This window comes from Homo sapiens, chromosome 2 (genome assembly GCF_000001405.40).
Source record: "Homo sapiens chromosome 2, GRCh38.p14 Primary Assembly".
Classification (NCBI taxonomy): Eukaryota; Metazoa; Chordata; class Mammalia; order Primates; family Hominidae; genus Homo; species Homo sapiens.
The window spans coordinates 108,067,019-108,081,621 of NC_000002.12; the positions used below are offsets into that span (position 1 = coordinate 108,067,019).

General features: G+C 39.3%; 1 annotated feature.

Annotated features, from left to right (window-relative positions):
• Positions 7,847–8,424: an enhancer, noted in NCBI's record as "NANOG hESC enhancer chr2:108691321-108691898 (GRCh37/hg19 assembly coordinates)". NCBI's record gives its function as "activates a minimal SCP1, AML or CMV promoter by ChIP-STARR-seq in primed H9 embryonic stem cells {active_cell/tissue: H9 hESC(primed)}" and the evidence as "EXISTENCE:reporter gene assay evidence [ECO:0000049][PMID:30033119]".

Here is a 14,603-nt window from a genome sequence, read left to right on the forward strand (position 1 = left end):
ATAAAAGGTCATGCTTGCAGGACTGATCGGTTGGCCAACAGGATTCTCAGCATAAAAATTTTTAGACATTTCTTGGTTGATTTGGTTGAACTTCTTGTGTGAGCTAACATTTATCAGGGAAGATTGGGTAAGTTGGTTTATGAAAGCATAGGGGTCGTCAGAGCCCATTAAGTAGGCACAATTATTAATTAAACAAATGAAGCTCCTCTTGTTTACCTTGATTTCCCTGGGGTTCCTGAGGATGCCTGCTCACAGCTTCATTACCAGTAGTCTCTGGAAGGGGTTCCAAGGATTTATGGCTGCAGCTTTAGCAGTCAGGTTGGAGAGCTCCTTCTGTAACTATGTGACCTAGGAACAGAAAGTCATTCCAGCATGCTAGAGGCAGGATGTACCTCAGAATGCCATGTGTATGCTCTTTCTACACTGAAATGTGCTCTGTGAATTTAGCTAGCACTTGACTTTGCGATTTGGCTGCATAATATCAATAGAAATTACTTGCAGCCTGTCTTTATTCCTTTGTTTCAGATGACACCTGATTAGAATTTTAGCAAAATCCCACCTATAATGGTTCTATATTTAGACCTCCACAAAAGACAACACTGTTAAATTGTTGGACCTTGAGCTAGCATTGTTTTTATAAAGATGTCGGCACCTTATTTCTGTTTCACTGTTGTTTTTCTTAAAGTATATTTTAACTTCAGAATTCTATTTTGACAGTTTATTTTGCAGAATGCTGTGTGGCTCGGAAATGAAAACAGAGTAAATTCTTGTTTCCATTAGAACAGAAAACAGGCTCCAGAGGGGCAGCTTAAACCAGACCTTATAAACTGAGAGTGGGCCTTTGTGGGCCTTCCGATACCCCACTCTGAATGCTGCAAGTCCCCTGATGTCTCACACTAACAACGTCCAGTCCAGCCAGAGATGCTCCAGAGAAAAGACTGAAGCCATCTCACTGTGTCTCGTAGACTGACCAACCATGCCAGTTTGCCTGCTACCGAAGGGTGTTTTGGGATATGGAACTGTCACTGGTAAAGCTGGTAGAGTCCCAGGATACAGGCCCAAACACTGATAATGGGACAGGCCCAGGGAGCAACACATTTCACAAAGAAATGCTGGAGCGATGTCATCATGAGGTTGCTGTCCACGGCCATTAAGTGAAATGTCTTTGTATCTTTCCAGTCATTCGTCAGGTCTGAGTAACCTCAGCTACCCTGGATTCCAGCTCTTCTTCTGTGAAATGAAGGAGTAAGTGGACCGGATTCCTCCCAGGCCTCCTCCAGGTCTAACACTGATGTCTGGCTATCATCAGCAGATAAACACTGTAAGGGAAAGCAAAGGGAATCAAAAGAAGCAAAAGGGCAACACTTCAAGTCAGATCACACTTTCTTCACTGCAGAAGAAGAAAAATTGCTGTTAGAAAATGGATCCATTATTGATTTTAGCAACTAGAGAGCTAAGCAATAATAACTAACATTTTACAACACATCAGTGCATAAAGCATTTTCACACATATGCCCATTTGTGATTCTCAAGACATATATCCAACACACATAAAGCAGATCTTGTTATGAAATCCATTTTACAAGCGAGCAAAAAAAGAAACTCAGCTGTGAGGAGTAACTTGCACGACCTCAGCATTATCAGAAACGGCCAGGAGCAGAGCCTCTGGGGTTGGGCTACCTGGGTTCGAGTCCCGGCTCTGCCCTTAACAGCCACGTGATATGTGATGGTCCTGGCTGTACTTTCGGGTTCTCCTCTGCAAAGTGCGGGTGGGGTTAACATCCTTTCTACCTCACGAAGTTGTTTTGAAAATTGAATATACACATAAAGCCTTCAAACAGTGCTTATCACATCAGAGTTCCCAGCATTATGCATCACCACCCACTACTATCTAGTACGTGAAACTAGATTTAAAAATAAAAATGCATATTATCTCAGGGATAACACATAGTCCTGAGGACTTTGTTTTCAGACACTCTTCTGCCATTAACTAACTGTATAAACTTGATCCCTGTTTTGAATTTAATTAAAACTACTAAATTCCTTTTCTGTTTGTCAATATTTTTTGTTTCTAATGCCAAGACCATTTAAATGCATTCCTCATTTTGTACTCGGTGCACAAATTACTTGCTGAAACTTACAGAGTAGAGAAATAGTTGATATAATGAAATAGAAACTATAAGTTTTACTGTAATGATTCCAAAGTTTCAGGTGACATATTGTCCCTCTAAATATACGCACTATTCAGCTAGTGAAAATCAAAGTTAAATAATTTCATTTTCTGATGTTGATTGTTTATTTTTGTTTTAATTTTTTAGAAAGTTGTTTAAAAGAAATAGGACTGCTTGCCCTACATATAATGGATCCATTATAGATGAATATCTTTTTTCAAATACTAGTACTTGAAACTAAAAAGGCCATTTTAAAATTGCCCATAAGTAAGTTTGACATTTGTGGCTAATGTCTACCTCCTTTGACTCAGTAATTCCATTTCTGGCAAAATGTCTTAAGAAAATAGCTTGAAAAAAAAATTACACACAAAAAGGACAGCCCACTGGCATTTAAGTGATTTTTAATGTGGCACTCTATAGACATGAGGAAATCTGATGCTTAAAACCAGTGCATGAAGTACGAATGGTTATCCCTGTTGCCACACGAGGAAGGTGAGACTGAGAGGACCTGCCCATGGACCAGGGCTCCTGCAGGCAGGAAGAGGATCTGCAGCCGCATCCACATCACCTTTCATTCCGTGCCTTCTTCATTGCTATGAAGATCAAGCAAGATAATGTGCATCAGGTGTTTTGAGAATTACAAATATTATCAAAATGAAAGACTACAAGTGGCCCTTTTATATCACAAGACATAAAACTCTACAAGATCTCAAAAAACAATTGCATCAAAATTTAATTAAGATCATTTACATTTAAAGAGATATTTCTATTCAAAAATTTTAAGATGCATTTTACAAGTCTCTTCAGAATTTCTGTTAACAGTAGGGGCATTTCTATTTAGTAGAGGCAGTGCCTTTTCAGTCTTTTGACAGTAGCAGTGGTAACTGTGAAATGAGCAATACAGCATAATGGAGAGTAATGTCTCATCTCTAAGGAGGAAAATCTTACGCTTTGACGGGATGTGACAGAGCAATCCTTCTGTGATACTACAAACCACTTCTCCAACATGCAAATGTGCTAGTGGGTTAAGTAAGGAGGGGATAGCACTGCTTTGAATTCCATTACTTAAGCCCGTTAAAACGAATAATGAAAATAAAACCTGTCCCTTTCTGCTGCTCCCTGTAACTCTCTTGCATAAATACAGTGGTTTCCAAACTTGCTCACACACTTCTATCCTTAAGAAATTTACAGCACATCCTCTCAAATTTTTATATTTATGAGTTGTGCATCTATACTACCATCATTAACCAAAATCTTAATACCAAATATACTTTACAAGTGAGGAATGTCAATCACAATTTTGATTACAAATATACTTATCAATTAGATCAATACTGATCAATTAGAATTTATTTTGATAGGTTTCTTCCTAGATCTGACTAGATTGTCATGGTTTTTAATCCATGATGAGGCTGATGAGGTGTTCTACTAGGAGTAGGAGAAAGGACAGCACTTTCTGTTTCTTGCTCACTTTTGCTCTCCTATCAACAGTTTTATTACTATCTTCGGTCTGCAATTATCTTACAGGAAGCTTTTGTAAGTCTCTTGTTGATTTTATGAAAGTTAAACTAAAACAAGTAACATAATTCACAAAAATGCTTTATTAGGCACTGATATATTACAATGTATACATACAATGATGCATTAATGCATAGTGCATACATAGAATGTTTGGTGTGTCATTGACAACCTTCTACATTGTAGACCTCCTTCCCTTGGTATATATCACAGAACATGCACCAAATTTGAGTGCTGGTCTCAAAGCATATTTTGGATACTTTACAAATTTATTTAAGTGAGCTTTGTTTTCTAAATATAGATTAATACTGGGCACACTCTCCTAAAACTCCTCACTTTGGAGACTAATGCTTTGACTTACATCTTTATAATATAGTTCTCCTTTCAGCATTGCAAGGTCATTGAAGACAGTTTATTAAGCTTTGCATCTGTTGTGCCTAGGGAAGAGCTTGACACACATCTTGCACTTAGTAAACTTCTTGGATGAATGAATGAAAAGTATTGACATTCCACCTTACTAAAAACATCTAAGGCTGGGCACGGTGGCTCATGCCGGTAATCACAGCACTTTGGGAGGCTGAGGCAGGAGGATCCCTTGAGGCCAGGAGTTCAAGACCAATCTGTGCAACATAGTGAGACTTTGTCACTACAAAAATATTTTTTAAATAATTAGCTAGGCATGATGGCATACACTTTTAGTTCCAGCTACTCAGGAGGCTGTTGTGGGAGGATCACTTGAGCCAGGAATTCAAGGCTGCAGTGAGACAAGATGGCACCACTGCACTTCACCCTAAGTGACAGAGTGAGACTGTCTCTCTCTCTATATATGTATATATATAAAATATGTGTAGAGATATATAAATTTCTCTCTATAGAAAAGTAACTTAATCTATCATTCAGATTAAGATTTTTATATAGATGTATTATATATAATATATAATAGATGTATTATATATATATATATATATATATACACACACACACATATGTACCTATATAAAGAGAGAGGGAGAGAGTTACAAGTAGTCATAGTTTCAATCAACCAGCAGCTTATTGAAAACAGTATATTTCAGTGAAAACGGCTGGGGAGTAATATTAATTTTTTTATTTTTATTTATCACTTCCTCATTGTACATCCTGTTATAGAAATGACAAGAGCCCTCAGCATGCTCTGGCCTGAACCACTTTATGTCGGTTTCCATGAATATTTCTTTGCAGGTTCTCACTCTAGACTACTGTCTGTCCAATTATTTTTCCTATCTACTGACTTGCTATTTGAGGAAAAAGTATTACAGTTTCACTCTATCATATTTTTATTTTCATTTATGTAAAGATAAAAACATCCTTATCTTAAGGTTGTTTGTAACATTTTGTAGAGATATGTCATTGTACATAAAATGAAGAACTTAGTATCATTATTTCAGGTGCTTACTAGGTTTACCATATGCCAGATTAGATATGAGCCAGATTTTAGGTCCTGCAGTTTCAGGAAGTGCTAATAATAATGGTAATAAATAATATTCGATGGCCATTTTCATGGTCATACTAAGAACTTTACATGCCATGGAATAGATCCTACGATTGTTTACACTTTCCATATGAAGAAACTGAGTCCCAGAAAGATTAAGTAGCTTGCCAAAGGTCACATAATTAAAATGTGGCAGAGGCTGCTTTCACAACCATGGCATCTGAATCTAGAATCTGTGATTTTAGGCGCTAAGTTTTCAACTCTCTTGAACTGCTATCCCCAATTACCTACCATGAATATCTGATGTACTAATCAAAACCCTATTGGTAACGTTACTAAGGACAAGCTTTTGTTCCACCAGATGGAGTCTTGTGACAATCTGAAGATGGTCACCTCATAGGAGTATTGAGTAAAGCTGACCCTCCACCAACATATTTACTAGCAAGACTAGGAAGTCTAGGAATTACTCCAATTAACAGTGGAAATGTAGCAATACTTCTTTTTTTTTTTTTTTTTTGAGATGGAGTGTCGCCCTGTCTCCCAGGCTGGAGTGCAGTGGTGTCATCTTGGTTCAGTGCAACCTCTGCCTCCCAGGTTCAGGCGATTCTCCTGCCTCAGCCTCCTGAGTAGCTGGGACTACAGGTGTGCACCACCACGCCCAGCTAATTTTTGTATTTTTAGTAGAAACGGGGCTTCACCATGTTGGCCAGGCTGGTCTCGAACTCCTGATCTCATGATCTGCCTGCCTCAGCCTCCCAAAGTGCTGGGATTACAGGCATGAGCCACTGCGCCCGGCCAGCAGTACTTTTAAATAACACATATACTAAGAATTATTTAATATATTTACTAAAATAAAACCAACATTTTGATGAGTGGCATTTTATTATTTTTCTGAACTTTCACTCTCCCAGTGGACACCAAACTCCAGAATACAGAAAACACAGCTCTTTTTTCTTTTTGTGTCTTTTGTTTCCTCACACAGCACCAAGCACAATACCTGCACATTCTCGAATGGTTAGCAATGGATTATACATTTTACTTTGTCTTCTTTAATTTTCTTAGTAGTCACATTAAAGGGAGCTACTGTGTTCCTAGAAAGTGCCTGACAATAGATGAATGCAGGGATGGATGAACAAAGGAACACTGTGAAACCCAGTTACCGCAAGCTTGTTGGACCAAGTTGAAGCTTTCTTATTCAGATTCGCCCTTTAAACTATTAAAATATGGTAAACATAAGGAAATCAATCATTTCTTAATCAGTATAAAATAAACACTCAGGGACTGCCTCTTCAGCTCTCAGCTAAGAATGACTGAGTAAAAACTGTGACTTCACTGGGAGATGTGAGAGAATTACAAGCCCAAGTCAGGAGGGCAGCTGCCTGCACAGTTTTACATTTCTCCAGACAGTGGACATCACGTATATTTATGGGCTTTCGGAGCAGAGTACTCTGTAATGCAATTTTAGCTCATCTAATTGAGAAAGAAAAATGAAGACTGTTTCCCAGGCATGTCTGTGTAAGCGTTCCCTGAATCCATGGTATTTGTATCAATAGAGGAAGTCATGGAGGTAAATTGAATTTATAGACTTGTGAAGAATAAATCAATTTCCCATGGAAAAACCCTAATACCAGAGCCTATACATAAGCTTCCTCCTTGGCTATTTTTATTTGTGCTTGCTTAGAGCATTGTAACAAAATAGGGAATTGTGGCAAGTCTAATGGAGTCATTTTGGGCAATGAGACCATTTGAAAGGTTTTGCTCTAATCATGGGAATTTTCTATTTCCACAATAGTGCCTTGGCTATACCGCAAGCTATAGAATTCCCATAATTTTTGCTTGGCTTTTGGATTTAAAAAAAAAATCACTCTTAGGAAATTAAAATGGAAGGGAAAAAAAGGAGAGGACTTTTAATAATTTGCCTTTCTAACATTAGTGCAAATTCCTTCTTATATTCCCCTAAAGGTTTACCTTTTTTTAGATTAAAAGATGTATTTGAAGATATAGACAAAGTGTGAAATTTTGGAAAGGCCTGTGTTGACCCAAATGACTAAAATGAACAAGATCTACATCTTAAACAAATAGATATCTTTCCATATTGCACCAGGCAGGGCTGCAGCTAGAAACAGATGGTACAGTCCGAAGAGCTGAGGGAAGATCGATAGCAGAACTGCTCACACATGTGTGGGCTCAGCTAAGCATGAGGCAGTGAAACATGCCAGAGCCAGCAACCCTCAACCTGTAAGGGGTGAGAGAATGGGGCTGCTACCAGAATAGAATGCAGCTATAGAATAGGGCCACGTAGACCAAGCCGGCTGGGGCCTGGCCAAGTCAGGATGGGGGAGGTGGGAGAAAATGCCCTTTCCTTCCTGCCTATCCATTTTCCAATCTCCTGCTGCCATCTCCCAGTGTCTAAACCCAATCAGAAGTTGGCATGTGAGAGGTGTTAACTTGTCCAAGATTGAAACCTGGGGGCTGATCACCAATTAAAAAAAAAAAAGAAGAAGAAAAAATAAAAGCTGGCGTCCTTCAACGTTCCTTGGGAAATTGGCCATCGCCCAGTTCTTAGGAACGTCAATCCTGTGCAACGTTCCTGTGCAACATTCCTCTGGGTCTTGGACCCCCAGAGATAGTAGTTCCCCCATACACTCACACACTCAACTGACAGAAAAAGGCCAAAGTCAAAGTGTTTGCCACACTCTACTGCAATTGTGCAGCCCCTCATCATAGCTAGAGAGGGATCTGTGCTTCTTGGATCATGCAACTTAAATTCCCTTAGCTGTCATTGGGCTCTCATAACAACTCCCGACTTTGCTAGACCTCTGTGTATTGCTCTAGAATTAAGTGAGAAATGAGGAACCCGAGTGGATTCCATCTCCTGACTGAGACTTCCCCAGTGAAAGCCTGAGATGAGTGCTCTCTAGTCATTCGCTTTTTTCGCACTCAGCAGGGAAGCCAGATGGATGCAATCTGAAGAGGTCAGACTCCATGCAGAGCAAGATGAAAAGTATGCGGATTTAGAGGCAGACTATGCCAGACCTCATGTTGGGTTTTGGGAGTCTCTCTCTCTCACTGTCTGTCTCTCATTTAAGTTGTATAATCCTGTCCACAGTTTATGCATTAGAACCTTAAGCTGTGAGAGACTGGGTTCTAGGCTCAAGCTCAGGAAGTGAGCATGCTAAGGCTGCCAACAGGGTCTCAGCAGTTGATGGGTCACAGCCAATCAGAACTCTGTCCAGGTCACATTTACTCCACTGTGACTGATTTCACTTTTACAGCAGCACTGACAGGGCTCAGGGAGATAGCTGTTGACAAAGTTGATTTCTGCCCATCTCTGTTAGGGATTGATCACTTTGTATTTCCCATCATCTTTATATTTAATGTATTTAATGTCTGGCAAATCCTCGGGATAGCAATACTAGCAATCACATTAATAGCTACCACTTAAGAATTTTCTATATGTGCACCATTTCTTACATTTATCTTCTATTCTCTCAACAAGCTTATTTGGCATTTTAAGTATTTTATAAAACAGTCTTAGAGAAGATAAGTAAGTCGCTTACATTCCCACAGATAGTAAGTGGCACAGCTCTCTCTAAACCTAGATTCAAACTCAGTCATTAAACTACACTTTAGCACACTAATTGCAGCATTATGAAATAGCGCAAACCTTAAGATAAATGACTCTTTTCTTGTATTCCTGGAAACCGTTAGGTGACCCTAGTGTCTGACCCACGGGCCAAAGTGGAAAAAAAAGTATCAGAGGTCATAAAATGTTTAAGCTGAACAAATCTTTAAAGACATGATAGCTAACCCCTTGTTTGAAAAATGGGTTTTAGTTTACTGACATCATACCTAGAACCTAGAACTCTGACCCCAAGGCTATCAAGCTAAGCTGGAACAGACCTTCAAGTCCCACAGATTAAAACAGTGAGGAGATGTGCAACACAGTGTCACTGGTGAGACTGCTGTCTACAGAGACTTTCACTATTTCTAAGAAAGAAAATCTGAACCGGTAAACACTGTTTTTCTCTGTTTCTGCCAATAACCAAACAAATTTAACTGCTAATTCCCCACCCAATTAATACAAATTAAGACCCCCTACCACTTCCTTTTTGACTGGCATCACAATAATAATTCAGGGGTATTAGAGTTCCTGTATAGAAACCTGAAACCTTGGCATAGACACCTAATCTCTGTGTGTCCATGTCTTCATTTATAATATGATGATGACAGTACCTTTCCTATTTCACCTCAAGGTTATTATGACGATAGAATGACGGAGCACAGAAACTCTAAGGATGCTAAATTATATGTCTCTGATCAAATAGCCCATATGTAGTGTGGATTTGCCCTGTGCCCAGCAGAATGTTAAGTCACGCAACAATAAGAATCCGAGTTGTTAAAGGCCTTTGAGGTCCTTGAGGAAAGAAAAAATATTGTGTTATAAAAATGTACGCTTAGTATAAACTGTCTTCTCATGCTAAATGAATTTGATTTATCATACAGCTCCAAACATGCTCCTATGTGGCTGCCCCAATATGTACACAGAGCAGCTGTGTGGAGGATCAGAGGTCTGTTGTAATATCTCATGGGACCGCTATGCCCTCTTATGCTTTTAAAGGGATGTCGCCATATTTCAAATTTGAATTTAATAGGCTGAATTATGGTCACATGTATGAAGATCAATGATTACCTAGAGGCATATCTAAGAATATGAGGACCATTGAAACAGACTGCATTTTGTAACTGTGAAACCCAATGAGTTTCAATACTGCGCAAGCTCTCAAGAGAGAAATTGCTCATCTAACTCTGCTGATTAAATTCTGCTGTTTACTTAAAGGTGGGCATAAAACCTTTGGGAAAGAAATAAATGATTTAAAAATCACTTTAGGTTCCAAACCATTAACGGAAGACTGATGAACACAACTATTCCCACTGAACGTATTTTTAACCAACTCATCATTTTAAAACTCATTTAGTCCTGATTTGTGTTAAAAAGTGGACACCATTGATTGTTGCTTTTTCAGACTACAGATCCACATACACCAGGGGAAATACCTAATTGAGTAGCATTCAAAGCTGGATCTTAATTAACTAGAAACTAGAGGCATGTTCATTTTCATTATATGTAAATAACAAAGTGACCCTCAAGCAAGAGGCATAAACCCCTCTGCATCTGAAAGTCCTCAATGAAGAATGAAGGGGAGGGGTTAGATGAGTCCTCAGTTCCCTTCCAACTCCGACATCCTTGGGTTCTGAGATTTTTCCAACACAGTGAATCCCAGTAGGCAGCAAAGATAACCAGGGCAATAGGATCTGTGGTGTTGCACATAGCAGTTAACCACTTACGGTGTATTCCCCTATACACAGGTCATTGAAAGATGCTACAATTGAATTGTGCTCTGTCCACATTTTTTTGTAGTTCTTTGCATTCACAGTAGCTACTCCGTCTCTCTTTGCTCCATTAGCTCAGCTGGGGTCTGAGAACCTACAGCCAATTCTCTCCAGCTGAGGCCTCTGAAGCACAGCTGCAAATAGATAGGTTGATGGAAAGTCTGGGTTCATTCCCAGAACTGCGTCTTGGGGTCTGCACCACTGCACAGGGATATGTCAAGGGTCAGTTGCCCAGCATGTGGCAAAGCCCTTTGTGCTCATGTGAGGAAAAGTATTCTTAGGGGAAAAATTTCTACTAGCATCTTATAGGCCAAAGCTCTAGCACAATTTTTCTTAGATTTTTTTTTTCAAATTCTAATGAAAATAATAAACCAAATTCTCTACCTATCCTTCCGTAATAGACAAATGTTGACTTCTCTAATTATCGCCTTGAGACTTTGTGTGGGCTTGTTTGTTATCAATGGAAAAGGTTCCATTCCCACTACAATGTGGAAAGAAGATACAATGAGACCTTCCAAAGGCATGCATGAGGAACAGGAAGCTGTGGCTCCTTGGCCCCTGTGAAGTCTTTGCTTTATGGCAGTTATGCAAACTATGGGCAGGGACTGAATTGTCCTCCGAAAACCAAGGGCACTGGGATGAGAGGGAGGGGGAGGGGAAACCCAATGGCATCAAGAGAGGGACACTTCATGGAACTGAAGGAAGACTCTTGTGGCTGAAACTCAGAGAACCAAAGAAAAGCAGGGCAGAACATCCAGGGACTTTAACTAGTTTGTTCTAAAACTAGGGTGATTACTTTGCCTCAGGTTCTCCCAGTTTTTTTTTTATTATTATACTTTAAGTTTTAGGGTACATGTGCACAACGTGCAGGTTTGTTACATATGTATACATGTGCCATGTTGGTGTGCTGCACCCATTAACTCCTCATTTAGCATTAGGTATATCTCCTAATGCTATCCCTCCCCCCTCCCCCCACCCCACAACAGTCCCAGGAGTGTGATGTTCCCCTTCCTGTGTCCATGTGTTCTCATTGTTCAATTCCCACCTATGAGTGAGAACATGCGGTGTTTGGTTTTTTGTCCTCGTGATAGTTTGCTGAGAATGATGGTTTCCAGCTTCATCCATGTCCCTACAAAGGACATGAACTCACCATTTTTATGGCTGCATAGTATTCCATGGTGTATATGTGCCATATTTTCTTAATCCAGTCTATTGTTGTTGGACATTTGGGTTGGTTCCAAGACTTTGCTATTGTGAATAGTGCCACAATAAACATACGTGTGCATGTGTCTTTATAGCAGCATGATTTATAATCCTTTGGGTATATACCGAGTAACGGGATGGCCAGGTCAAATGGTATTTTTAGTTCTAGATCCCTGAGGAATCACCACACTGACTTCCACAATGGTTGAACTAATTGACAGTCCCACCAACAGTGTAAAAGTGTTCCTATTTCTCCACATCCTCTCCAGCACCTGTTCTTTCCTGACTTTTTAATGATCGCCATTCTAACTGGTGTGAGATGGTATCTCATTGTCGTTTTGATTTGCATTTCTCTGATGGCCAGTGATGATGAGCATTTTTTCATGTGTTTTTTGGCTGCATAAATGTCTTCTTTTGAGAAGTGTCTGTTCATATCCTTTGCCCAATTTTTGATGGGGTTGTTTGTTTTTTTCTTGTAAATTTGTTTGAGTTCATTGTAGATTCTGGGTATTAGCCCTTTGTCAGATGAGTAGGTTGTGAAAATTTTCTCCCATTCTGTAGGTTGCCTGTTCACTCTGATGGTAGTTTCTTTTGCTGTGCAGAAGCTCTTTAGTTTAATTAGATCCCATTTATCAATTTTGGCTTTTGTTGCCATTGCTTTTGGTGTTTTAGACAGGTTCTCCCAGTTTTAGCACTGAGAATATCACATGCCAGGAAACCCTATATCTTAAGCAAATAGGGACAATTGTCTCAGGACTGTCCTGGTTCACTGAAAGGCCCATATCCTGGGTAATTCCTCAGTCCTGTGAAAAATGGAACAATTGATCACCATACCTCAGAGTAATGAAATGCCATCAATGGAAATGGCATGATCAGATTTGTTTTACATTTCTATTTTTTAAAAATTGCACAGCTGCTTGTAGAGAAAGGATCAAATAAGATTACAAACTGAGCCTGGGAGATGGACTAGAAAGCTATTGTAATTTTGATGTAGAATTGGATAAAAATAAAAAGAAAGTAAGAGTAGTTGATAAGAGAGGAGATAAGGGATACAGGGATTCATTAGCCATGAGAGTGACTCCCAAGTGTCTGCTTTGCACAATTGAGTAAGTAACTAGTCTTTTCAGTGAGACCAGAAAGGGGAAGTAGGTTTGGGAGGTAAAAAGTCAGGAGTTAAGCAGGACATGTGATATTGAAGGAGCTGTGGTTTTTAGATGTCATTACTAAGGAGTTGGAGCTTAGTGAAAGCTTACTATGTAGTCTAAATCTGAGAGGGAAAGTCTAGAAAGGAGATATATAACTGAAGTTATCAAACAGTAGTTGAAGCCTCTGGGAATTACCAATATAAACTAGGAAGAAATTGTGGAGTAAGACAGGGGTCTAAGCATTGAGCCTGGAGAAAATTCAGTAGTTGAAAATGTGGTAAAGGCAGATAATCTAAGAAAGAAGGCTGAGGCTATGTTGCCGGAGAGGTAGGAGGAAACCAGGAAGATGCTATCATGGAATCCAAGGCACAGTGGCTTTCAGGAAAAATAAGGAGGTCAATGTTAAGTGGTAAGGGAACCTCAAAACCACCACTGCAGGCTGCAGCTGTGCACAGCTGGGGATGTCTGTCAGCCACAGGAGTCTAGCTGCAGTTTCTTTTTCATAATATAGGACAAACCTAGGGTTTATCTGAATACAGCTTCTGAACTTGGGTGAAAGTACATCCCTGAGACATGGCCACACATACTTAAACAGCTCCTGAGGCTTCTTTTGCATTAAAAAATTCTCATACCAGGCTGGAAAAATTTCCATAGTGCCAAAAAATAGTCAGAGGTTTTTTATTGTTTAACTTTTATTGTAAGTTCAGGGGTGCAAGTGCAGGTTTGTTACATAGGTAAACTTGTGTCATGGGGGTTTGTTGTATAGATTATTTCATCACCCAGGTATTAAGCCTAGTAGCCATTCATTATTTTTCCTGATCCTCATCCTCCAATAGGTCCCAGTGTCTGTTGTTCCCCTCCATGTGTCCATGTGTTCTCGTCATTTAGCTCCTACTTATATGTGAAAATGTGGTATTTAGTTTTCTGTTCCTGTGTTAGTTTGCTAAGGATAATAACCTCCAGCACCATCCATGTCCCTGCAAAGGACATGATCTTGTTCTTTTTTGTGACTGCATAGTATTCCATGGTGTATATTTACCACCTTTTCTTTATCCAGTCTATCATTGATAGGCATTTATGTTTATCGCATGTCTTCACTATTGTGAATAGTGCTGCAATGAACATACACATGCCTGTGTCTTTATGGTAGAATGATTTATATTCCTTTGGGTATATACACAGTAATGAAATTGCTGGGTCCAAAGGTATTTCTGTCTTTTGGTCTTTGAGGAATTTCCACACTGCCTTCCACACTGGCTGAACTAATTTACACTCGCACCAATAGTGTATAAGTGTTCCTTTGTCTCCACAATCTTGTCAGCATCTGTTATTTTTTGACTTTTTAATATTAATAATAGCCATTGTGACTGGTGTTAGATGGTATCTTATTGTGGTTTTGATTTGTGTGTTTCTAATGATCAGTGATGTTCAGCTTTTTTCATATGATTGTTGGCTGTACATATATCTTCTTTCAAAAAGTGTCTGTTCATGTCCTTTGCCCACTTTTCTGTGGGGTTGTTTATTTTTTGCTTGTAAATGTTTTTAAGTTCCTTCCTTATGCCATATATAAAATTAACTCAAGATGGATTAAAGACTTAAATGTAAAACTCAGAACTATAAAAACCCTGGAAGACAACCAAGGCAATATCATTCAGGACATAGGCATGGGCAAAAATTTCATGATGAAGATGTCAACAGCAATTG